This window comes from Homo sapiens, chromosome 15, assembly GCF_000001405.40.
Source record: "Homo sapiens chromosome 15, GRCh38.p14 Primary Assembly".
NCBI lineage: Eukaryota > Metazoa > Chordata > Mammalia > Primates > Hominidae > Homo > Homo sapiens.
The window spans coordinates 48,611,339-48,638,215 of record NC_000015.10 but is presented as its reverse complement, the minus strand read 5'-3'; the positions used below and the strand labels follow the sequence as shown (position 1 = coordinate 48,638,215).

The window sequence follows — 26,877 nt, the reverse complement described above, 5'->3', positions numbered from 1 at the left end:
AGTGAAAGTCTATTAGGGCTGGGCATGGTGGCTCATTCCTGTAATCCCAGTGCTTTGGGAGGCTGAGGCAGGAGGATCACTTGAGCCCAGAGGGTTGAGGCTGCAGTGAGCTATGATCATGCCACTGCACTCTAGCCTGGGCGACAGAACAAGATCCTGTCTTAAAAAAAAAAAAAAAGTTTATCAGTGGTCAACAAACTGAAGACCAAGCTCACTTTTTTTGAAAATAGAGTTTTATTGAAACAAATCCATGCCTGTTTATTTACTTATTATGTATGGCTGCTTTCTCCCTACAGCAGCAGAGTGGAGTAGTTGCAACAGAGACAGTATGGCCCATAAAACTGAAACATTTGCTCTTTGGTCCTTTACAGAAAAAGTTTAACAACCTCTGATCTACGTGATAAAAAGTGACTGTCTACTAGGAGTGAGAACTCCTTGAAGGCAGAGATCTTGCTTGTTTTATTTATCTCTAGGAACATCTAGGAACTGGGTATGCGGCACATGTTCAATAGAATAGTTTTTGATAGTTGAACTCTGAGCAATTTTGATGAGCTGATTAACTGGGTATGGTTAATTATATAGACTAGAGCTTGGAGTAAGTATAGCTGAGAAATAAAGGAAAGATGAGTGAAAAATACATCAAGGGAAAGGGATATGAAGTGTCTGAGGTCTTAGGACATTGACTGCAGTTGGGCAGGGTTGGCACGGCATGGTTCCAAGTGACATGGTTTGTAGTGCAGTCTATGAAACGAGTGCCCTCTGGAGCTGTGCAGTTTGCAACCTTGAGCAATCTTGTGAGCCCGTACATAGGTGGCAATGTTGTTAGGGAAAGGAGAGGGACTAGTGGAAATATAAATGTCACTGATGTTGTGAAAGGCAAGGACGGGGAGCTAGTAAAGGATTCTAAGATAGGAACATGATCAGATCTTTGCCACTGGGTAGAGGTGTGAAGGGTAGATGATTAGAGAGAAGAGAGACTAAAGACAGGGAGATTTGGATTTAGGAGGCTAATATAGGAGTCACAGTGAGAGTCCACGATGGTCTGAGCAAATTCAGTGAAAGGGGTGAAGAAAGAAGAGACTCAGGTGGTTCCAGAGTTAATGCAGACAGTACTTGACTAGTTGGTTGTGAAAGACAAAGGCGAGGAGGACCTAGAATGCTCCCACCTCCATATATATTCAAACTTACCATACACGAAGTCATTGTAGCACCATAAAGAGAAAATAAAGGGAAACGAGATCAGGCCTAGGCCCTCTACTACCATGAAACAAAGTATTTTCATTTGTGAGTGTTTGAGTTATTTTATTGCTACGTAACAAATTGCCCCAGACTTCGTGGCTTAAAACAACAATTTTATTCTTTCTCATGATTCTGTGGCTCAGGAATTTAGACAGGACACAGTGGGGAATCTTGTCTCTGCGCCCCACAATGTCAGTTGGGCTGGAACAGGCAGTATGACTTCTTCACATATGCATCTGGTTCTGTGACCAGGCACTGGCGCCTGCAGCCCTGTTTACTTGGGTGTGGTTTATCTAAATGGACCCACTGAGGAGGGGAATAAAGGAAGCAAAGAGCCACTTGTCTGGCTCTGCTGGGGGCCTTCCAAGTTTTAAAGCTGTCTCTCATGCAGTCTCCTGCCTGAACCTGCCCCCGGGATGGAGCCATTGAATGTGTTTTTTTTCAAATGGGGAGACTGAGCCCCAGATGCAGCGACTAGGCCTTGCTCAGAGTGAGTGTCTGTTGGGGCTGGATCTTGAACAACAGCCTCCTGACCCTGGTCACATGTGTTAATCCCACATATTGACCGTAGGCTAACTCGAAGGGCTGGGGGCTGGCTGGCTGGGGTCACATGGACTCATATGTCCTCGACATTGCCTGGCTTCCTTGATTCTCCTTTATATAGTCTCAGGTTGTCCCCTTTCTATACGTGGCCTCTCTACATGGTCTTTAGAGCAGCATAGCCAGACTTTTTCCATGGCAGTTCAGGATCTCTCAAGAGCACAAAAGTGGGAACTACCAGACTTTCTTCAAACTTAGCCTGGAATCGCATGACCTGGAATTCCATCCAAGTCATAGGCCTCATCCAGATTGAAGGGCATGGACTATTAAGACCTACCTTTGGATGTGAGGAGCATCATGTGTCTGCTGGGAGGGGAGAAAGTGGAGCCATCTTTGGAGACCAGCTACCACTGTGAGGCAATAGATCTTTGAGAAGGCTAATCAGATACTTTAAGTTTTAATTCTAACTTGATCAAGTTCAGTTGGCTTAGTTCTCTACTGAGGATGCCTCATTGTATTTTGCTGCTGTAACTTCAGAATGAAAAAGCTCCATAAATATTGTGTTTGCATGTTCTGTTAGATTCATGTTAGGGCATTGATCTTAGTTTGTCCACAGTTCTGCATTTAAAGAACTCACAACTGTCAGGAATAAAATGAAAGTTCCTAATGAAGCAGTATGTTTTGTTTTATTCAAATATGAGAATTTCAAAACATCTAACCATTTTCCATTTGCTTTTAAGAAAATCAGCTTTTAAGATTATACATGAAATAAATTTAATGGGCAATCACTCTAATTTATTAACTTTGGTATGTTTTAACTTTCTTCTGTATGGAATTTTATTTTCAATTTCTATTTATAGCCTCAAATGTATGTATCTGTTGGTGTAATCCACCTCAATTTTTTAAATTAGGGGTTATACTAATAAGTAAAAATAGGTTGCAGTTGCTAATAGAATTGGTGTTGTAATGAGCTGAACTGTACTATTTTTCTTATAAATGGAGTAGCCACATTATCAATAGAATAAAATTGGATTAGGAATATAGTCAAGTTTGCATTGTGGGTGTCTTATACTATATCAAATCCTAGATTTAAATTTCTTGTGACTACCACTTTTTCAACTTAAGTGACTTTTTTTTGGTTGAAGTTATCACTGACTCTATTTATTCAGCTCCCTCAGAGCGGAAGAGAGAAAGCAAAAATCCCTATCTCCACCATTCCCAGCCGGAGATGTATTCCAGACAGCAAGCAGGCTCAGAGTGGGAGAACTGCTCCATTAAACAAGTGGTTTAGTTCAACATTTTGAAGGATTATGAATTCCTAGACCATCAGTCATACTTACATTCAAATATAAGTATCCAAACACATCTAAGTCCAAATATAGTACAACCATTTTATGATGTTGGTGTTGGGAGACAGGATTTATGTCTGCCCTAAAGACACATTGTCTGCTGTCAAGTTTCATGGTTTTGAACTGAAGTATGGTAATATCTTTATTAATAAAGACAATGTATTCCAGAGGCAGGGTTTCATTTTGTGTGTGTGTGTGTGTGTGTGTGTGTGTGTGTGTGTGTGTGTGTGGTTTTTTTTTTTTTTTTTTGGTTTCTTCTTCTTCCTTTTCCGGTTCTGTTTCTCCTTCTTTGTTGCCATCTTTTCCTTTTCTTCTTTTTCTTCATCATCATTGTTTCATCTTCTTTTTGTAAGTAATTTCATAAGCTGTGCTGCAAATAAAATAGGGAGGATAGGAATATCAAATGAGAGTTAAAACCTTAAGAAAAGTAAACAAGGTCTAAGTAAAATACAAAATTTTTACCTGGGAACATTGGGGTGTTCAAAAAGCAAAACAGGGTTAAGGTTTTTGTTAGGGGAAGGAAGGAGAAAGCCTGAGGGAAGCAGGAGGAGAGAGCTGGGAGAAGGTTCTGGAGTGAAAGTCTTGCCAGCCAGTGGACCTAGGCTGGACAGAGCAGATGCTGGGTTTTGAAAGAGATTGATGACAACCCCTTCACTCCCGGCAGCATTGGGACCAGGCGACCTGTGGCCTTAATCAGCCTCTTTTAGGGGACAGAGAGCTTATGGAGGAGAGTCAGGACATAAAAGAAAGACACTTGGATGCCAGAAAAGATTCGTATGAAAACATTTAGAGGAATGCAGTGGAAAAGCAGGTTAATCCATTGTCTGGTATGCACCTGTGTATATGGTACTATGTAAAGTTTGATGCATCCTGCTTCTTGTAACTAATGGTTTATTGTGTATCATTTCCCCTGTTCATTCAGTGCTAATTTGTAAGATTGTGTAATCAGACCCTAATAGGTTTGGGCCTTTGATGAATAACTTTTAAAGGACCTTCTTATTTTTAAATGCTTTTATTTTTGCCATTGAAATTATGGCTTATATCTTCTTCCATAGCCAGACCATCCATCTTTAGAAAAATTCATATTATAAATTAGTTATAGTAGGACAGATTTTAGAAATGTATAAATACTGAAACTGAGGCCCAGAGAAGGTCCAGGAACAAGTGCTCAAGGTGCTTATTTTCCTCTCCGGTTCGTAGGTGTGGAAGCTGAGTCACGTGGTAGCGAGAGCTGACCTAAGAGGCGCGTTGTTGGGTAATAGATTGGGCCTCTTTGTGTTCACACCCTCAAGAGGTGGACTGGTATCTGCAAGTTCTCTGCTATACTTGAAATAACCAAACCTTATCAATCCTGTGGGCATGGGTGTTTTCTTTCTCTCATTTATTTGATCTTAGGCAGTGTGATTACTCTCTCAGCGGTCAGCCCTGAAGGGGTGATACTGTAGCAGAGTTTTAGATCCTCAGTACTACCCTGCTCTCAGTGGGAACCTCCACATTAGAAAGGATTGGGTGGGATGGGACTTTTTGAGGGAGGTAGTTGTCAATGAGGGTATCAGTCAGGTGGTTGGAAAAAGAGAAATAGTCTTCTCCGGGAATCGGAAGCATGACTCCTCCCCGCAACCCTCCACCACACACATACTCACACTTCTAATTGGCAGTCAAAGAGTCAAATGACCTGGGATCAACTAAGGCAGTTCTGGGTCTGTGATTAAGCTTGGTTTCTTGTTGTGTAACTTGCTGGCTCAGTTATCCAAACTATACATTAAGAGTTTATGTAATAAACATGCTAAAGAAAGAAAAAAATTCTTAAATTCTTGTGTTTTCCTCCATATCATCTCACCTAGTAATACTGTAAAACATCTGCCTACTCCAAGTGACAACTATGTTATGAGCATTAGCTGCGTTTGAATAGGACCCAATGCTTCATTTTCAGAATGAACACCCTGTCTTGGGCTTGTTGATATTATTATCTTTTTTTCCAATGATTCTAGGCAGAACTGCCATTTGGAATATCTTTCTCTCCCTTTCTGATGGGGTTAATGTCTGAGGAGATGTAGGCAAATGCTTTTCAGTGAAGGACTTGATGTGCAGCCTTTAAGTAGACAAATAGTTTTTTAATCTTTCATGGACTGCTGGTGCTTCACACCCCAGAGTTGAGGCCACTGACCTCAAGTTTGCAAATTTTATATCCCATTACCACCCTGTGAGCTCTGTGCTCCCCAGGGTCACATAGTCGGTGTTTTAGCTGGAATCTGAGAAAGTGCCTGAACATTTCCTGAAGAGTTGGCTAGGAATGTTTGGCAGTTTGGTCATAAAAACCCAGAGCTAGTGGCTGGGGTATATGTTATAATTACCTCACACTATTTCCTATTTGAGCCTGGCTGTGGGTAGTGGGGTATACTGGTATTGATTGTGGGACCATATTTTAAAGGACCAAGGAGTCATTTTCAATGATCACTAATAACCTTTGGCCACACTTTCAGGGAGGTTTGGAAGTGTGGAAATAGACATGCTTTGGGTCAAACCCTGGCTCCACCACCTTCTAGGAGGAAACCTCAGACGAGTGATTTGACCTCTCTGGGCCTCAGTTTCTTCACTTGTAAATGCGATTAAATTACTCATCTTTCTGTGTTGTCCTAAGATTTAATGGGATGGTACATTTCAAGTTCTTAGTACTATGCCTGACATGTTTAGCTATGATGATGAGAATGATTATAATGCTGTTACAGATAAGGAAAATGAGGCAGAGAGTCATCCAAAGAGGCTGTTTTTTATGGCTAAAGCAAAAATCTAGATAATCATACCTATCTGGATACCACAGTCTCCACTTTCTCATCATAGAAATGATTATATTAAGAAACAGGAGGCAAACCTGAATTTTAAAATGTTCAAAAGTGTAATTTTAATGGACTTACTATATCTGTGGAGATCTGGTTATACTTAAAGGCAGTTTGGGGATAAGTTTTTATTTTTAAATTTTCTCTTTCCCTAAATTGTGTTGTCTTCATTGGGAAACAAACTTACTAAATATTATTCCTTATTAATATGCACCCCCTCAACTCTTCCAAAAAAGTTTGCATTTTTTAACTGGCAGATCTGTCAAATAGGCCTTGCCTCTTTCCTGATTAGCACATTTTTTAAAAAGATACTTTGTGAAAAGAATTTAAATTTTAGTAAATGGAAAGACTGGGTTGAAAACCATTCTCTTTGGCAGCAGTGCAGAGATACCCTGGGAGTTAGAATTGTTTCATGGCAAGGTGGTGCGCTATTCTTGAAATGTGCTTTAATTGCCTCTGTTGGAGTAAGGATTTGGTTATAATTGGGTAGCCCAGATGACCACCTACAATTCTTAGCCACACTGCCTTTCAACACATAATCTCAGAGGTAAAGAGATAAGCCCTCTTTTCCAGATTGCTCATGTCAGATCTCGCGGAGAACTCCAGCACTGCCCCAGTCACACGCCCTTCACTGTCGCCAAAGAAATAGGACACTCCAGCTGGTCAGGACTGAGCCATGTGTTAGTCCTGCCTGAACCATGTGGAATGGGCTTAGGAAACGAAGAGTTTGGTTAGCAGAGAAGGGGAAGGGATACTGGATGGGCAAACACAACACATCTGCACTCACAGGGAGAAAGCTCCCTTTTCCATAGCGTCAGTATTCCCTCCACCCACTCTGTTATCACTGTCCTCTCTAGGTGCTTTGTGGGCAGGCCTTGCTTGCGTGATTGGGGACAGGCTGACTCAGATTGGCAGCCCCTGAGAAGAGCCACTTTCTAGTTGAGCGTTCCCTTCCTTTGGCTTCATGCCATGCAGCAACATAATGCTCATTTACTACAAAGAGATTCTTATTTGTTCTTCTTCTTCTGTGTCCTCTTTCTCTTGAGAAATTGAAAATCTTTTTATTTTTAAATTTTCTCTTAATGATTTCCATTTTGATTTTAATGAGAGTTGACTTTCGGAGAGGTCTTAAACTATTGAACATCCGTGAGAGTGGAACAAAACATACATTATCTTAATTTAGGCATAGCTTTCGTAGAGTTCCTATACGCTGCACCCTACATGCCAGCTCTGGTTAACTGATTGGCAGTAAACTCTAAGAAGTTGCGGTTGCTTCATATTCATTCACAGCCTATAAAAATAAGAGTAGAGTGTTTTAAATAAGGAACGATTTGAACAGATAATAGTTACTTTTCTATTTGCCATTGAAAATGTTCAAATTACTTAATGTCTCTCATCCCCGTGGGGTAAATCACACCATCACCAACAGAAAGTTTGTAAAAAAGTAAGAATATAAAATCAAACAAATGAATACCAGGTACTTTCTTTTCTTTTCTTTTCTTTTTTTTTTTTTTTTTTTGAGATGGAGTCTCACTCTGTCATCCAGGCTGGAGTGCAGTGGCACAATCTCGGCTCACTGCAAATACCGGGTATTTTCTGTGCTCTACCGACTTCCTGGGAAAAAAATAAACCTCAAATAAAATAAACTTTTCCTTTTAAAGTTTTGAAAACCTTTCAGGTATTTTACAAAGATAGGCAAACCACTTTTTCTCCTTTTGCTTGTAAGCAGTTCTAACTTAATCCAGACATTATTGAACTTTGACAGAAGACAGCAGGGTCTAATTTGACTGCAGACTGACTCATCTGCTCATTTGCATTTGGGACCTTCCTTGAAAATAGGTTGTTTGACACACATTCTCACACATTGAAAGGTCAGAAGACATACCAGGATTCTTTGCTAAATGATTTCCTCCCTCCATTTCATATTTCCCATGTCCATAAGAATTCTTCCACTTATGCACAGAAAAACCCAAATTTAACCTTTTTATGGACCTGATACACAAAAACCCCTTCCCCCAAAACACATCTTTTGTTAACTGATGGGTTTATGTTTGTCATAAAGAAAGATAAAATGTCTTTATGAAAATGAATCATGTCAAAAAGGACCTGTGATGCCCAAGGGGATCCATCCCCTGGACCGACATGTTAATTGTTTGCACAGGTGTAGTGAAGTCATTTGTTCTTGGATTCTTCATCTAGTGAACTGTAACCTTATTTAGTAGCTGGATACTTAGTAGGAACACTTTGGTTAGTTCTTGCCACTGATTTAACATGGTACACATGTTGGGATTGGACTGTTGTCTCTTAATGGGGGTCCCCTCCCTCTCAGGAATGTTGAGCTGCGTAACAGATAAAGGTGGTTCTTCAAGTGAACGAAAACAGAAAACAAAAGTGTGGCATGATGGCATGTAGGAGACTGTGGATATCAGGATGGACTAGGCCAGGTGCTGCTGCAAATTTGTGTTTTTTAAAAAGAATTTTATTTAACACAGATGTGGATAATTTCAAAACTAGCAAGAAGGATACAATGATGATCCAGCTTCAGCATTTATCAATTAATGGTCAATCTTGTTTTATCTACTTCTTCTCTCCCTCATTGCATTTATTTTGAAGTAAATCCTTGAAAAATCATTTTACTTTTAAATATTTCAATGTGTGTCCTAAAAGATAAGGGCCCTTTAAGAAACATAAACACAATAACATTATTCTGTTTACCATTAACACTAATTTTCTAATATTATCAAATATTCAGTGAATATTTAAAATTTCCTAATTGAGTCATAAATTTTATTTGTTTTTTTGCAGTTTATTCAAATCAGGATCCAAAAAAGTCCATATTTTGCAATTGGTTGATCTGTCTTAAATATTTTTGAATATGTAGATTGTCCCCCTGTCAGTTTTTCCTTGTAATTTATGTATTGAAGAAATTGGTTCCTGTCCTCTACACCAGTGCTTCTTAAGATGCCAGTCCACAAACTCCTGTTACTGGTCCATGATGAGATGAGAAGCCAGGGTGTAAATCCAAAATATGTCACTAAGCACACTATTTAGTTCAGCTGATATTTTATTTCTAGGGAGACTTTCTCGATGAAGGAAGCAGTGAGATGGTTTAGATTCTAGCTTAAACTCCTTATCTCAATATAGACTAGTAACGTCTAGTTTGTAGAACAGCACTGGCCAGTCCTTGGACCACACATGGCTTTCACCACTGGAGAGTTTCTTGCAGTCCAGTGATGACTGCATTCCAGTGGTATGGTCCTACCATGTTTCTCAGTCCCCTGTATTTGTTGTGAATTGCTAGTTAGAGCTAGATGCTTGATTCAACTCAATTAACTTTTTTTTCAAGAAGACTTTATAAGTGGTATGTGTCCTTCCATTAGGAGGGACATCATTACTACTAGTCTCTCTTTTTGTGTTATTAGCATTCATTGATAATCGTTTTCTAGATCTATTAGGGTGGCAGAATGGGGATATTCAAATTCTGTCATTTCCTATTGACTTACTAATGCTGTAAAGTTTTACTCCTAGTTTTGAACTTAGGCTCAATGCTTCACAGCCAGTAATGTTTGCAATATGCTGGGTCTGATTTTTCTTATCTGCGACTTTGTTGTAGAAAAATTATTTAATATCTAACAGTAAGGATAGGCTATTATGAGCTATGAAATTGTGGAAAATTCACACAGAAGGAGCCTGGCATTTGAAAGGGAAGAAAATAATTCTGCAAAGGTCCATTTATCCCATGATCTTTTGTGAGTGTCAAGGTGGAAGCACTCAATGTGTTTTTATTTTAAAGTAAGGGATTTCAGGCAAGAACCTTATGAAAAGTTGGTAAGATTTTGGACTATGAGGGTAATAAAGAAGATATCTGCAGAGATTTTAATATTCAGAAGTGAATTTTTGTACCTTCATTTCGGCATTGCTCTCTCAGGAATGCTCTTTTTTTTTTTTTTCTTCAAGAAATTGGAACAAGTACAACCTTAGTGATTCAAATGAAAGATTCTGAAAATTACTGGTACACCCAGTCCCCTTTGGGGAAAGGAAGGTAGGGACAAGAGCTGCCCCAGGAGCACCTCCCCGACTGTTTGTAGGGGATGATACGTGCGCATGTGCATGTGTGCCAGGCACATCACCCGTGTGTTTCATGTCAGTGAAACATGTCCGTCATTCTCTAAGGCCTCATGTATTCTTACTTGATAGAAAACTCCTGGGTGAAATGACAGGCTTTTGGAACTGCTTTTTCGTCAGTGGGTGCTGCTACAGAGATTTGGAAGCCCTTTAGGTATGCGAGGTGGATGTATTTCTGTCTGTTTTGACATCATCATCACCACTTCAGAAGTTGTCATGTTGAAACTTTGTGCTGGCATTTAGCACCTGCTCTGCTTAATTATAGCTTGAAACACAAATACTGTGACATCTTCCCTGGAGCTGGAAGGGTGCTGAGAGGACAGTGCTGGCATCACTCACACTGAGAGGGAAATCTTTCGGGTTGGATTTCAGGGAAGAGCTGTGCTGGCCATTGGAATGAGGACAGTCACCACTTTCTCTGTGTAATGGACAATATCCCAGCAGCCTCTGAATTAAGTCACAGAGACGTGAAATTGGAGGGTTTTTTTTAGAAGATCATCTGGATCACCCAGGCCTTCGAGCAGCTCATTGTCTTCCTAAGCCGGGTCAGACAGTTGCCTGCGTGTCCTGATGGTTTTGCTTTGAGCTACTTTTCAAAAGACAAGCCACACCCATGTTGAAGTGTGTGTACTAACACATTCCAATGCCAGCTCTGAGTAGGTTTTGAATTATCCACATGTTGAATCTTTCTTGTGCTCTCTACACATCCACTCCCTCAAACGTTGAGCATGTTAAGAGCTGACTAATGTTTTTACCGGAGGGTGCAGGACAGAATACTCATTCTCTGTTGGGAAATGCAGAAACTATTTCAGAAACAGAAGTGCCAATCTATAGGAGTGAATGTTCCTAAAATGTGTTCTCTTTACATTGTTTTCCTTTGCTAATACACTTCCAAAACACTGTCTTATTTATTTATTTTGCAAACCTAGTAAAAAAATCAGAGCACAAAAAATGATGTACAAATTAGTTTATACAAAAAAGAGAATACATTCTCTTTGGAGTATTTATGGAAACATCTTTCTAATCTCTAATCTAAAAATCTTTAACACTAACCTTGGAATGTTATTAATAAAGTCTTTTGGTTTTTAATTAGGGATTTATGACGTTTCCATTGTGTAGCCTTTGAAAAATTACTTCACTTCTCACATTTTCAGTTTCCTCATCTGAGAATGAGCACACCAATACATTTTCTTGATAGGGTTTGGGGGAAGAGTAAATTTTATAAATTAAAGCTCTCTAATAGTTGCTAATTATTATTTTTATTCCACTGAATGACTTCATGTGGACTAAAGTACTGATTTGGTTAAATTCCCTTAAATTTAAATTAGACTATTTTTATTAAAAGTTTTCCACATATCTAAATGTTTAAAAAATAAATGCTTACAACTTTGTTTCAATTTCAAAATTAAAAAAAAAACTTAAGTTTTTGACTGCTAATATTGTGAAGTGTTAATTTCAATGAAATAATCTCAGCAAACTGCATGCTTTTACCTAACTTCCTCTGACTTTATAGAAACTTAAAATCTGTTAGTGATTTATTTATTTATTTTTGTTCCTGAGCAACAATATTGTCCCTGTTTTGATGGGAGGGCTAGATAGAGAAATGTTTTAAAGATCCATGGCCTGTTGACTGCTATGAAATATGGTTTGAGCTACAAGATCTCTGAAGCTTTTGTAGCTATAAATGTTTCTAAATGATGCAACTGAAACATGGAAGAATTTCACTCTCGTACTCCATGTATTCCACTTATGGGTAATTGTTGTTATGTGTTAGATTTTTTCCTTTTAATTTTCTAAAATTTAAAAAAGTAGATGAAATGATACTGATTTCTTACTAGTAATTATACTTTTCATTTTTTTTTTTTTTTTGAGACAGGGTCTTGCTCTGTCACCCAGGCTGGAGTGCAGTGGCGTGATTGCGGCTCACTCTAGCCTCAACCTCCTGGGCTCAAGTGATCCTCCCACTCAGCCTTCCAAGTAGCTGGGAAGCTACAGGTGCATGCCACCATCTTGGCTAATTTAAAAATTTTTTTGAAGATATAGATTCTCGCTATGTTGCCCAGGCTGGATCTTTTTTTAAAAGTTTCTTATAAACATATCCACCTTTTTAAATAAATTAAATACTCACTACTCTGATAGACTTCTCATTAACTTATGTTGTCTTAGTGGTAAATGAAACTCTAAACTCTCATTTACCACTTAAGATTCAAGTATTGTGTTAGGTGCTGGGATTGTAAAGATAAATCTGAACTTGCTATATTTAAGGAACTTGCATACACACACAAAAAAAACGCTGGTAATTTCCAGTTTTAGGAGAGGTGAAATTCTTGAATAATTTTGGTATGAGACTAAAGTCACCAAATAGGATTCAAAACGGACTTGCTTCCTTGCTTCACGTGTAAGCCACTCGTGCTAGAAATAGCTCACTGAAGTCTATCTGTGAGCCAGTCCAGGATACTGATTTTATGTTATAGTTGCTAATGGGGCGGGATCTTCTGGCCTTTAAAATAAATCAGGTGCATCGAGGATGAGAACTCTCCAGGTTTTAAGTCTCTGATTCATGGACCTGTGGATGTCCTGTATTGGCCCTGATGGTCTCATGCAGGGGGTCCAGAAGGGTGTCAAGCCTGGGCTGGGACGGCTCTGACTCTGGCTGCCCTCTCAGGACTGTGTGGAGTTGCCTGAGTTTAAGGTGTTCATTTCTCACAGATCACTGGGCAGCTTACTAAGCTGAGACATGGTGGGTTTGAGTGGCCAAGTTTTCCTCTGGTTGCCTGCCGTGGAATGTGTTTTCCCATAGAAACAACATTTTAAGTTGTGGTCAGGTTCCCAGACCAGCCCACAATAGCCTATTCAGCTGATAATGCAGCTGAGAGACTGCTATTTGACTGGTCTGGAGACCAAACCACCACCTATTAACATTGTTTCTATTGGACAGGCCATTCCAAGTTCTAAATACTAATATAGAAATGAAATTTTGGAGCTCTACCTGTTTGTCAATTGGGGGCTGACAGCATTCGGAACTCAAGTATCAAATCACCCTGCACTCTAGGTTCCTGAAAGACCTCATTCTTTCTTTCTCCTAAGTCTGACCCCATTGGCTGATTTTCCTGTCTCTTCCTGGGGCTGCCAGTACATTCAGAAGATATTATCTCCCTGGACAGAGCTCTTGGTTTGAGAATTTCTGGGAAGTGGCAAGAATCATGGTTTTAGTCCCCAGTTCCTTCTGTGGGTGGTAAAGGAATTCCACAAGCTCCACCCCCGGCTCCGCCTCTGGCCGGCCTCTCTCTGTGCAGGCTCAGAATCCCCTCACCACTTGTTTTGTGTTTTCAATCATTTCTATGATTTCGTTCACCCTTTGGAAAAGTACAGTGTGGCTTCAACTTGAATAAATGGAATGAATATCCCAGTCAAAGAAAAGCTCTTGATAGACCCTGAGCTCACTGGTGAAGTCCAGGGGTTTCAGAGTGCTGGGAAGCAGTTCTTTACACAGGCAACATGTTCTCATCGTGTCATTGGCCATATCCTCTCAGATGCTCCAGAAGCAAACATTTGAGATAAGCTGGATTTTCTGTTTGGAAGCAATGCTTCCTCATCCTTAGATGGTCAAATAGTTGAAACTTCATGAAGAAATTCACCTCTTCCCATGTATGGGAGCAACTTTTACCCAACCAACCAGACATGTGACGCCAGTAGGCCAGATACAGATGCCCTCCCTTGGAGAAGTGATCCAGTACACACTAGGACAGCAAGTTATTCAAATCATTGCCTTCAGAACTTTGAGGAGTCCATTCTGGTGGTGTAATTTTCTAAGCAGACAAGCAGACTTAGTGTTCTTAGTGCTGCTTAATCCAGAGTTCCAGAAGCATGAAGTGAAGAGTGCTGACTTGCTGCACACATGATGTACTTTAAACATCTGTGCCTCTGGTCTTCATGGTTCAATTGTCTAGTTTCCTGTAGAGTGCATCCCATGGCTTTTTGAGCTTCAAATTCTTTTTTTTTAAATATATACACTCCACCTATAAAAGATTCCAATAGGATTTAAATTGGCTGTCAGTCTAAAAATGATGTCCCAGATCCGAGGAACTGCCTTTTCAGCTTTCTATTTCCTAATTTTCTTAGGCTGTGCGTGTGTGTGTGTGTGTGTGTGTGTGTGTTTGTGTCTTTGTGTGTGTGTATGTGAGAGAGAGAATGTGTGTGTTGGGGAGGAGGGTGCATGTGTACATGCCCTTGAAGGGGGACGACATTTTTGGACCATAAGTTCTTGGGCTATTGCTTTTGATCAACACAAAATCTCCATGAAAAGTTGAGGGTACACAGTGAATGAAACTGTTGATGCAACACCTTTGTGCTGCTTGTGCTGTGAGTTACTCCACTCAGCAGTGGGAAAAGCCTTCATCCAAGCAGCACATCCAAAGAGACCTATCAAGGTCACTCTATGAATTTTGTCATGATTGTCTGTAGGAATTGGCCGCATGAGGCTGGCTCCATCTATGGCCTTGATCAGTTGCAGCAATCTGCCATAATAAAATGCATGCCAACTTGTGAGCTGAAAACCTTCACTTAGTTGCTTGTGGGATTTTTTTTCTTCTTTTGCCAAAGAAATAAATAGAATCAAATGTTTACATATGTGTGTTATTTGTCTACATTGATTTTGTATTTTCTCAAAGGAAAATATTGATTTCTGAGTTATAAACATGGGTAACTTCACTGATCAGAATAAGTTAATGACAGGCATGTCAGTGAAATAATCAAGGCACAAAACCACCATACATTTCTGTTTAACTGCCTATGTAGCCTTTCAAAGACGTGTTAAATAGTCTTCTTTTAAATAGATAAATTTATAAGAAATAATTCTATCGCACAGATTTTAATGTCGGTGGCATATTCCATCTGGCTTACTTTTGGCACTGAGGAGATGATATTAATCTTTGCTAATTGTACTTCGTACTCACTATTGCCTTTAGTCAATATTATCTTGTGTGCTTCTAAATAGACTCCAGGATAGTCTAGGCATAATAGACATTGTTTCTGTGCCTGAAGAACAATTTATTACTCTGGGAGTAAAGGGGGTGGTGGGTTGGGCTTCAGGGATGAGATCTAGACATATAATTGTTTTAAATATATAACTACAGTATAGCCTATGTAGGTTTTTGAAGATATGTCTGGAATTGTGTTTGTAGTGTGAAAGATGGATGGATTCATCAGGGAACACTAAGGGAGATGGAACTACATATTGAAATGGAAAGATGGAAGAGCTGATATAAAAATGGAGGAAGTGTCTGGTTTTAGTGTGTGTCAGAGATAGCAGTGCGTGCATGAGTGAGGGCTGAGACGGTGAAGAAGAGGAGCTGAGTAGGAGGGTGGAAGTTGAAGGTATAGGTAAAGATAAGAGTTGACAGGTAGATTAGGCCTACCTGGTAGATATCTGAACCTAATAATGAGATGTTTAACATTATAGAGAGTGAAGGTCCATCTTTGGGCTGTAGGGGAATAGAAATAAGCACGGTGAATATGAAAAGATACTTACCCATATTGTCCTAATGGAGTAGAGAGAAACTAGGAAGCCAGGAAAAAAGAACATGATATTGGTCCAACAATGAAATCACCAGGATTTGGACAAGGGATTTGCTAATGGAGTTGGAGAATTTAAGGGGAATTTCATCAGTGGGATGAAATAAAACTAGTGACTCCCCTTAGCAACCGGGAAACATCAAGTCATAGCTCAGATAGTCCTCTTCTGAGCTTACCATGCATGCTGTGGCTAAAGGCCTTTGTTCTGGCCTCCCTGAGTTCCCCAGGCAGACCTTGATGTTAGTGCTTTGTCTGTTGTGTAGATAATCTTTGTGTATGTGCCTGTGTTCCTAGACTGTAAGATCCTCAAGAGCAAAGACTGTGTGTCTTAGTCACTTTTTAAATATAGCTGTTTTATTTATAATTGCATTGGGACAGGATTATTATTATTTTACCTTAAAATAAACTTTTCACTTTAGAACGGTTTTAGAGTCACAGAAAAATTGAGAGAGTTGCCATATACTCTGGACACTTTACTCTGTTGTTAGCATCTCATACTAGCGTGGTATATTTTTTGTAATTAATGAACCAATTTTTTTCTTTTTTTTTTTTTTGAGACAGAGTCTCGCTCTGTCACCCAGGCTGAAGTGCAGTGGCACAATCTCGGCTCACTGCAAGCTCCGCCTCCCAGGTTCACACCATTCTCCTGCCTCAGCCTCCCGAGTAGCTGGGACTACAGGCGCCCGCCACCACGCCCGGCTAATTTTTTTTTTTTTTTTGTATTTTTAGTAGAGACGGGGTTTCACTGTGTTAGGCAGGATGGTCTCGATCTCCTGACCTTGTGATCCGCCTGCCTCAGCCTCCGAAAGTACTGGGATTACAGGCGTGAGCCATCGTGCCCAACCAATGAACCAATATTGATATGTAGTTAGTGATTAAAGTCTATTCCTTATTCAAATGTTCTGAGTTTTTACTTAATGTCCTTTTTATGTTCAGAATCCCATCTAGGATACCACACTGCATTTAGTAGTCATGTTTTCTTAGACTTGACTTAGCTGTCACAGTTCTCAGACTTTCCTTGTTTTAATGACCTTGACAGTTTTTAGAAGGGCTGGTCAGATATTTTGTAGAATGGCCCTTAGTGGAATTATTTGATGTTTTTGTCATGATTACATTGAAATTATGGGTTTTTGGGAAAAAGACCACAGAGGTAAAGTTCCATTTTTATCACATAATATTAAGGGTTTATAGTATCAACATGATTTTCCATTGTTGCTGTAACCCTTCATTGCCTGGCTGAGATAGGATTTGTCAGGATTTTCCACTTCCTCCCCCTCCCTTTATACTGTACTCTTTGGAAGACAGTCAGTATGTGTAGCTCACATGTAAGGAGTGGGGAGTTATGCTTCATCTTTTTGAAGGCAGAGCATCTACAAAATTATTTGAAAGTCGGAAGCACAAGAGATTTGTCTTTTCTCTCCCATTTATTTCTTCAATCATTTATTTATCAGTATGGACTTATGGATATTTATTTTTTACTTGGTATTGTAATCCAATGCTGCTTTTGTTATTTTGTTGCTCCAAAAGGGTTCTAGCTTTGGCCATTTACACTTCCTTCATTTGGCTTCTGTGTCCCTTGCCATGCTCCCCTCAGTGTGGATGTTTGTTTAGCACTTCCTTATACTTTCTGTCACTGCAAGATGCTACAGATTCAGCTTGTCTATTTCCTGCCCAGCCCTAGAATCATCTCCCAGGAGCCCTGATTCCTTTTATTGAATAATAGTATTAGCAACCAAGATCTAGGCATTAGGTGTGCTCTTCTTGGTCAGTTTTATTTCTTATCTAACACAGTGCCTAGCACATAATAGGCTCTCATTAAATATTGCTGAACAGCCAGCAGTAATGGAATGTTGAGTAACTGATGGTACAAATGACTCAATAAAATATTATGTATCTATCAAAAATGATCATTAGATTTATACAATAACATAAGTGAAAAAGTAACAAAAAATGAAGATTGTAATAACACTCATGCAAAACAAGCAGAGACTCGTGCAAAAAATGCTAACATGGGGAGCTAGATTTGAATTTTGGCTCCCCAGTTTATTAACATATGAATTTAGATGGATTAATCTCTATGGCCCAGCTTCCTCACATTAATTATAATGCAACAGTAATGATAAAAGTAATAACTTATTTCATAGAAGTATTGTGGGGAGGTAAATGAGTGCTGTGACTGAAATAGGATAAGCACTCAATAGATATGATTAATATAGTGATTATTGTGAGGCTGATGGAACTATGGTGTTTTGTCTTTGTTTCCCAAACCCTCAATGATGTGTAACATTACATACATCGTCATCTCTTCATCTCTCTTCCCAGTCTTCTGTAAGGAATATCTGGAGCTGGATCATTCCAGCCATGATAGTCTCACTCTCCCTTCCTAAGAATTCCCATAGTGCTTCCTATTTGAAATGATTGCTCAGCAATGTTTTTATGTTGTCTGGGGTTCATCACTACCCTTTGTACATACATGCTCCTCCAGTCCCCCGACCATGGCTCTCAGGAAAGGGGCAGCTTGAGTCCCTCTCATGAGCCCTTCAGCGCACAACCAAATGTATCTCAATAGGTTAATTTAATTTTTAAAACATGTTGATTTGGCATTCATATAGGTCGAAGCATGTAGAGTATCCAGACTTCAATAAATGTTAGTTCTTCTCCTGTTTTTTTTTTTTTAACTTTTATTTTAGGTTCAGGGGTACATGTGCAGGTTTGTTATACAGGTAAACTCGTGTCATGATTGTTTGAGGTACAAATTATTTCAGTTTGTTTCTTAATCATATTTTATTTCCATAGTCACAAAAAAACAAGAAACTTAAAAAAAACCTTTGGGTTGGTAAAAAAAAAAAATTGTTGAACAGCTTTGTGCTTGTGGGCAAGGTGAATAGTCCTGATGTATCCGGTTGTGGACCTGGCAGTGAACTTACTGGCTACACAGGAAGAGGAGCTATTGATCTTGGATAAATTGAGTTTGAGATGGTAACAAAACATTTAATTCTAAATGCCCTGAAAACAGGAACTGAAGAGAGAAGAAAAGAGACAGAGTGGAAGAAAGGCAGATAGGAAAGGGGAGATGAGGAAGGGAGGGAGAGAAGGAGGGAGAGAGAAACAGATGGACCATGGCTTGGGAGGAAAACGTAATAGAGTCACCAATCTACTGGTGATGGAGAAGGCAAGAAGGGGATAAAGCTCTTGAAAACCAGAATAAATCTATTATTCATTCTGTTCCTTTTCAGATTACTTTCATCTAAAAAATAAAAAAAAATCCCAAACTGCACAAAGTAAGTTAGAGTGGTTGGCTGGCTTGCATCCTCAAAGGAGGAAGCCAGAATTGCCCGTGTCCCAAGCAGTGTCAACTCAGACAATCCAGAAAAGAGTCTTTGGGTCTACAGCAGTGGTCTCCAACCTTTTCGGTATCAGGGACTGGTTTCGTGGAACATAACTTTTCCACGGACCAAGGGTGCTGGGGGATGGGGGGATGGTTTCAGGATGATTCAAGCTCATTACATTTATTGTGCACTTTATTTCTATTATTATTACATTGTAATATATTATGAGATAATTATACAACTCACCGTAATGTAGAATCAGTGGGAGCCTTGAGCTTGTTTTCCTGCGACTAGAGGATCCCATCTGGTGGTGATAGGAGACAGTGACAGATCATCAGTCATTAGATTCTCATAAGGAGTGGGCAACCTAGATCCCTCCCACACGCAGTTCACAATCAGGTTTGTGCTTCTATGAGAATCTAATGCTGTCCCTGATCTGACAGGAGGTGGAGTTCAGGTGGTAATGAGAGTGATGGGAGCAGCTGTAAATACAGAGGAAGCTTCACTTGCTTGCCTGCCACTTACCCCCTGCTGTGTGGCCCAGTTCCTAACAGGACATGGACCGTTACTGGTCTGTGGCCCAGGGGTTGGGGACCCCAGTCTAGAGAGTCAAGCTGAAGCTTAGGGAGGTCATGGAAGCTGTTCTCATTACCAGGGTTTGAAGTTTTGTTACCCAGGTTGCATTGTGACTGGCAGATGGACTGTAACAGTCACATGAGGTATTCACATCACTACTGGGAGACTTGACCTCTGACTTCAGTGAAGAGGGCCAGAATAAAGGCACTAAAATAAAGAGGGGGAATATTTGAAAGGTTCGTTAGAATAGTATGGGCCCCTTCATCAGACAGTACTCATGATGTTTTTTCTTTTTTTATCTTGATAAGAAAATTGTCAAAGAGCAAATAAAATCATGATGTGTAGTTCACAATACAGGCAGCTCATTTATGTATTGTAATTGTTTCATGATCTATCACATTTTTTATAGTGGAAGTTATTTTAACCTTGGAACAGTAGGATGTTAAGATATTAACATGGGACACATTACATGGGAAGTTGGGTGTCCTTTGTTGTGTGAGGGCATGTACCTTTTGATCCCCTCCAGATTTATACTTAAGGGGCTAAATCATAGTTTTTTTCCTTAAAGGTTAAAAAAAAAAGCAGTTAATGGAGCAGGGTCAGTCTCATTAGCCCTTACCTAGTACTTGTTCTCCTTGCCCAAGAGTTTAATCACTAACAAATATGTTGAGAAACTAACATATATGAAATAAGAGCCTCCTGACCTTGTTTTTATTACCTTAACCTTTTCTGAAAAGGAGTTTGCACTTTGCATAGGAAACAGAAAGGCTATCTTGCTGTAAGAGGCCAAATTGCAGAAGTGGGCTTTGGCTAAGGAATGTGGACACACTGCAGACATCTTGCACAGAGGCCAAGTCTTGCAATGATGTGGTCAGACGTGGTAGAGGCCAGCTGTTTGCTCCGTTGAGAGAGGCTTTTGCCAGTCCACAGGCTCTCTGAGGGCTATGTTTAACTGAATCCAAGTATCAAACCTGCTGAGACTCACTCATCCCCCAGGGTGTTTGGAGTTGGGTTCTTACAGAGCACAATATTGAAAGTAACTGGTAAGAGAAGTTACAGATAAAGACTTAGCTATTTTAAAAAAATGTAACATACAGTGGTGAAGTGGAATATAAATGTATTTTCCCTCTTTCCCCTATAAACTATTGGAATACAGGTAAAAACAGTTTATGCTGGCTGGGCACGGTGGCTCACACCTTTAATCCCAGCACTTTGGGAGGCAGAGGCGGGCGGATCACGAGGTCAGGAGTTCGAGACCAGCCTGGCCAATATGGTGAAACCCCGTCTCTACTAAAAATACAAAAATTAGCTGGGTGTAGTGGTGTGTGCCTGTAGCCCCAGCTACTCAGGAGGCTGAGGCAGAAAAATCTATCGAACCCGGGAGGCGGAGGTTGAGGTGAGCCGAGATCGCACTGTTGCACTCCAGCCTGGGCGACAGAGCGAGACTCCATCTCAAAAAAAACAAAAAAGCAAAAAAAAACCCCCAAAACAGTTTATGCTGTGCTTTATCCTTGGTCTATTGATGGACATTCTGTGATTTGTGTTACTTATGTCACCATGAATACTACTGGATGAAATATCATCTTGTCCTCTAAGTACACTTTTGACTTAACATAAGGTTAGGAGAGCGTACTCTAGAATCAGGAGGCTTCTTGAGTTCAAATCTCCATTAGACACGTCTAAGCTATGTGACCTTGGCCAGGTTGTTTGACCTTCTTAAGCCATAGTTTTTTTTTTAGTGTTAAACATTATAACAATAAAAATTACCTCAAAGAGTTGTTATTAGGATGAAATAAAATAATATATCTTTAGCACTTAGCAAAAAGTTATTTCCCCTTTGAATTTTAATTTTTTAAAATTTGTTGAATGTTATTGCTACTTGCACAGAGCTTTAAATCCGACTTTGTGTGTGTGTGTTGGAGTGATGGGGGTTGATGGGGATGGCTCATGAAGTGAAAAGAGAAAGAGGTATGGATGCTATACTTTCATTGACCCGAAAGAGTAACTTTATTAAAGATTTACCTTCCTTGTACAAGCATTTTGTATTGAAACCTTATAACTAAATCTTTTATTATGGAAATAATCCAGCATGTCTCATTTAGAGTTTACATATTTTGGTTCTTTCCAGCTTCAATAAGACATTCATTTATTTCCAGAATTAGAGCTGTTTTTTTTCTGTGTATAAGTAAAACAAATGTCATGCAGCTTGTTTGAACGAGTTCTAATAGTTTGCAGTTTCTCAAGACCAAAAGCAGCAGAGGAGAAATCTTACATGTTTCAAATACTTTGCGTTGAGCCATACCACATAGCATTTAGAATGATTTAAGAATGAATGGCAACACAATTAAAACAATCATTGTCATTTGAAGGTATTGGTTGAAACAGCTGAAATTAAATAACATGTTACTTGTTAATGATAAAGTTTTAAAACTCATAGAAAGTCAGAGGATGCAAATAAAATAAGTCCAACCCAAAATTATAAAGAACCTTAAGAAATACAGTGAAATGAAAATGTGATGCACTAATGAAAGGGAATGGTGAATGAATAAAACAAGAAGTATTCTGTTTCAAAGATAAGACGTTCATACTTCGAAAGTCTAGTTATTGCTTTAAGTGAAAGACGATGGAAATAGAAGAGCGTATATTTTAAAATGAACAGTTGTGGATGAATATTAGATAAGAAAGCAAGAGAACTCTCTCTCTGCTTCCCCGGGTTCTCATCTCTTAAGGTAACTAGGTTGAAACATTTCTGTTTTTTGTTCTTCTCATGTAACACCATCTACCATGTTTGTACCTCTGTATCTAGATTTAAACAGTACCCACTGGTTTCTTGCTTTGAAAGATGGGGACTTAGCTCACTAAAGTATCTGTACCCTCTTTCTCTCTTCTTCTTCACAACTTTAAAATATAGTTTTAGTATAACTTTTATGTATTGGTTATTTTAAAACACAGTGTAATATATATAAGACTCTGTTTCTAGGATCAGCTGCTTTATTGACTGCCACACCTTTCCTCCCAAATTGTTTCCCGAGTTATGTCATCTGTCCCATTACTTTTACTCTTGTGAAGGTTTACAACATTTACATTTTCTTTTGTAACTATAGTAAATTGTAAAATCTTCCATGTTTTGGCTGTAGATTGATTCTAAACATTAAAAAAAGAATGTTTATATTACCATGCTTTTTCAAATTCCTTGGAAAATCTTTAGAATATTTTGCTTTGTAGGACTGAAATTGTTATTCTGGATCCTTTGTTTCTGAGCTTCTTCATCTTGTGTATGTGTTATGACATACATATTTTTGTCAGACACTATGACTGTGACATATTATGTCAGACAATGTATGATTGTAGTAAAAAAAAAAAATAAAACCTTGTTATGTCAACCACAGGGCACCCTGCAAAGGCTCAGGAGTGCTCTGACACTATTCCAGGATTTGGTAGGGATTGGACTATCTCCAGCGGAGCTGTTCTAATGGGCTGTTGCTGGAGAAGGTTTGAGGTGGTTGACTTTGGCCTGGATTGTCATTTCAAATTGAGAGAACTTTTATAATAAAAGTTTGGAAGGTTTGTGCGTTCCCCTCTACCCCAGCTGTCTACCCTCACTTCCTCTCTCATTTTCCTTTCCGAGAATTTGAATTTCCCCAGGAACTTCTGGACACTCTGAAGTTTCAGGCATTACTTTGTCATGGAGGGACAAAGGGTTGAGAGCCTTTGACTTAAAATTCTCCATAACATCTTTCTTCCTTTATTCCTTGTGTTTCCACTGGCTGAGTAACCTGGGTCAGAAGATGATTCCATCAGGATGATAATGCTGCATTGCATTTTCATCATCTTTTTCATATATGAAGCTTTCATGTCCATTATTTGACATATATACACACAAGGGAGACATTTCATTGTGCCATTGTACACAGAAATATACTGAGCTCACACAGGCTCTAACATCATGCACATATTTCACCTCTATCCAATCATTTCCTCTCTATCCTTAGAGAAGGCCTGGGCTGCTGGGTATGGAGTTAGGGCCCTTTCCTTGGCTCCTCCAGCTTTCTTCCTAAATCCCTTTCTGACCTCAGCATCTGTCAGTGTGAAGCATGTGTGGTGCCCTGCAGGGTGTTCCAGATTTTCTGGAGCAACAAAAGGGGTAAAGGACATAGCAAAGACCTTATGTTGGTTCCCAAACCTGCATGATGTTGAAGTAGTGAGTTCAGAGGAAATGTGGGAGGACTCTGTACTGTTTCACGTGGTCTACATATACAAAGAGAATGTGGGAGTGCACCCTAACTGAAAATACATTTTAGCTATACAGTTGTTTTTAAAGGTTTATGCTTTTGGGTTTACAGTGTTTATACCAGTAAGCTTTGGAATTGCTCCTAGTTTGTGAAATTGATTGCAAAACATTTGACCTTCCTTATTAGCCCCTGATCGCTAGCAGCTAGCATCAATGCTTAGGCCCTCAGGATACGGCAAAGTAAAACTAATGGTTGCTTCTAGGTCTCTGTGTATTATAGTCTCTGTCCTAGTTTCCAGTGTAGAAGTCATTGGATCCTTACTTAGTTGCTCCCTGAAATTGTTAAATGTGGATCATCTGGATTCTGAATGGAGTTTCTACTCCAAGACATGTGATGAACTGTCTGTAAACAAGAAACCCAGAGTGACACTGATTTTATTTTCTTGTAACTGCTGTTATCAAGTGTGTTTCCAAACTTTTTGTTTTTGGAGACAGAGTCTCACTCTGTCGCCCAGGCTGGAGTGCAGTGGTGCGATGTCAGCTCACTGCAGCCTCTGCCTCCCAGATTCAAGCGATTCTCGTGCCTCAGCCCCCCAAGTAGCTGGGACTACAGGTGCGTGCCACCATGCCAAGCTAATTTTTGTATTTTTGGTAGAGATGGGGTTTCACCATGTTGGCCAGGCTGGTCTTGAATTCATTACCTCAAGTGACCTGCCCACCTCGGCTTCCCAAAGTGCTGGGATTACAGGCGTGAGCCACCGCGCCTGGCCTGTTTCCAAACTTTTGCTAAAGAAATATTTACATGTTTTGGCCTTTATTTTTTTCTGACTCATGTCAGAGTTTGCGTTCCTGTAATTTTAGTGAAAGGGAGAATATGTAAAATTATAGAGGTGAGATGGGCCGTAGGAAAATATATATATATATATGGCTTCAAAGTGTAGAAATGTGAAGTCTTATGTGCATTAGATTTTATTACAAACTTTCTTAACCATATTGGTAAGAAATTTATTGTTTAAGTTTATTGTCTAATTTAAGACTTGTATGGCTTCATGAATTGTGACAGAATGTGCTACATTTTGTATCTCTGGTTTTTATTTCCCTGATGGGCCATATGCATAGGTGATATTAAGGGATGTCCCTGTTGATATCACTATGTTAGTGTCCCAAGCTACCAACCCAGCATTGAGTCTCATGAGTTTGCTTTATCTGTCTGCCAGGATTCATCTTGCTTTTATAACTCAGGAATTTTTTTTCCTTTTATTTGGCCATCTCTTCCTCTTCTTCTTTTTTTTAAAGTATGGAATTCTTCTGTTTTTGTTTTAGACCCAATGTCTGTGGATCACGTTATAATGCTTACTGTTGCCCTGGATGGAAAACCTTACCTGGCGGAAATCAGTGTATTGTCCGTAAGTAAATAGAAAACTTGTCATTCTGCATGTCCTTCTTTTGTTGTGTTGGTTGCATGGGGAGCCTTAGAATGTGGCCTTTTGTAACTGTACTATTAATCTGTTGATAGTACAGCCTTCCAGCTTTAAGACTTTTCTACCTTTCCAGTTTGGGAAATACATCAACTTGGTCAAACCCTGTCAAAGTTTAGTCACGGGGATACTTTGCTTGAGGTTGTGTCATTTACATATGTTGTGCCTGGCTACACAGACTATCTAATTACTTTGATGGGAGTTTGAATGAAAGGGTATTATTGCTGCTTTTCTTATTGTAATTTCTAACTTTGTTGGCCACTCACGGGCCTTACCAAACCCTGTACATTGAATTTGGGTGATTGAGGGACCAAGAGCAGACCTGACTCTTAGACAGAGGGGAAAGGAAGGAGATAGATCACCAGACGAAGATCAGTGGAAAGACTAAGAAAGATCTCAAATGATAACAGAGGTTCCTCTATTGATTTCTGCTGGCAAGGCAAACTTCCAGATTTCCCCAATATCCCACAAATGTTGAGTGACAAATCGCATGCCAGACAAGGTGTTCTTTAATGGAGACACCAAAGTCAAATTTAGTCATGATGCCTGCCCTTCATGAGCTTTTACAGTTGTTGTACCTATGAAATAATGTCCAGTTTTCAGAAAACTCCAGTAGTATAATGGGGAAATTTAGAGCTGAAGGGACATTAAGAATCACTTAGTTCACCTTCTCACTTGGCTGACAGTGGTCAATGGAGTATTCAATAGACTATATTGGCCAATATTTGCTTCATGACCTGAAAAAGTTTAACTGTTTCTCAATTCTTGATTTTGACCAGAAAGCATCTCCTTTATTTGGCACATTATGGTCTAAGACCAAAATTGGATCACTAAAAGAGAAATATAATGGTATTTGGATTTTTCTCAATGAACTTTATAATAGAACCCTTTCTTAGCCTTCTGTAGAGTTCTCTGAGAAATGATGTCTCCAGATATTTAAATAAATGTTTACTGGATCTTTGACAGTTTGTTTCTTAGTCGTTTCCAGTTTCCATCCTAAACTCTTTGGATGTTTGAATGCACTTTCTATCAAGTGTACTCTTTTAGCCTTGCATATCATGTTTGCACTTGCAAGATTGTGCAGGAGCTTGAGGAAAAGATCATGCCTGTCATGACGAAAAGTAGTGACCAAGTGCTAGTCTGCCGATAAATATAAATCATATGCCATTTAAACTTACTGTTGTGACCACTAGCAGAGCATTTGGTACCAGCATGATATTAGTCTCTGGGTGGTATGCAAATGTTAGTATTTCTCTAAAGGATGAATGGCTTCCTGACTGTAGAATCAGTACTCTAGCAGTAGATTCCAGCATTCTTCTCTCAGACTGTTGATGGAATTCAGAACAGGATAAAAATTAAACATTAAACATTTACAATAGGCTGGACGCGGTGGTTTACGCCTGTAATCCCAGCACTTTGAGAGGCCGAGGCAGGCGGATCACAAGGTCAGGAGATTGAGACTGTCCTGGCTAACACAGTGAAACCCTGTCTCTACTAAAAATACAAAAAATTAGCTGGGCATGGTGGCACATGCCTGTAGTCCCAGCTACTCGGGAGGCTGAGGCAGGAGAATGGCATGAACCTGGGAGACGGAGCTTG

The 26,877-nt window shown here is 39.5% G+C and overlaps 1 protein-coding gene across 3 annotated transcripts in view; it reads left to right on the top strand.

Annotated features, from left to right (window-relative positions):
* Positions 1-26,877, top strand: part of FBN1 (fibrillin 1) — a 237,397-nt gene that overhangs the window by 7,494 nt on the left and 203,026 nt on the right. For all 3 annotated transcript variants that reach the window (NM_000138.5, NM_001406716.1, NM_001406717.1), the window contains one exon: positions 25,124-25,206. In NM_000138.5, the coding sequence (NP_000129.3) occupies positions 25,124-25,206 (83 nt within the window). The remainder of the gene's footprint in view (positions 1-25,123; positions 25,207-26,877) is intronic.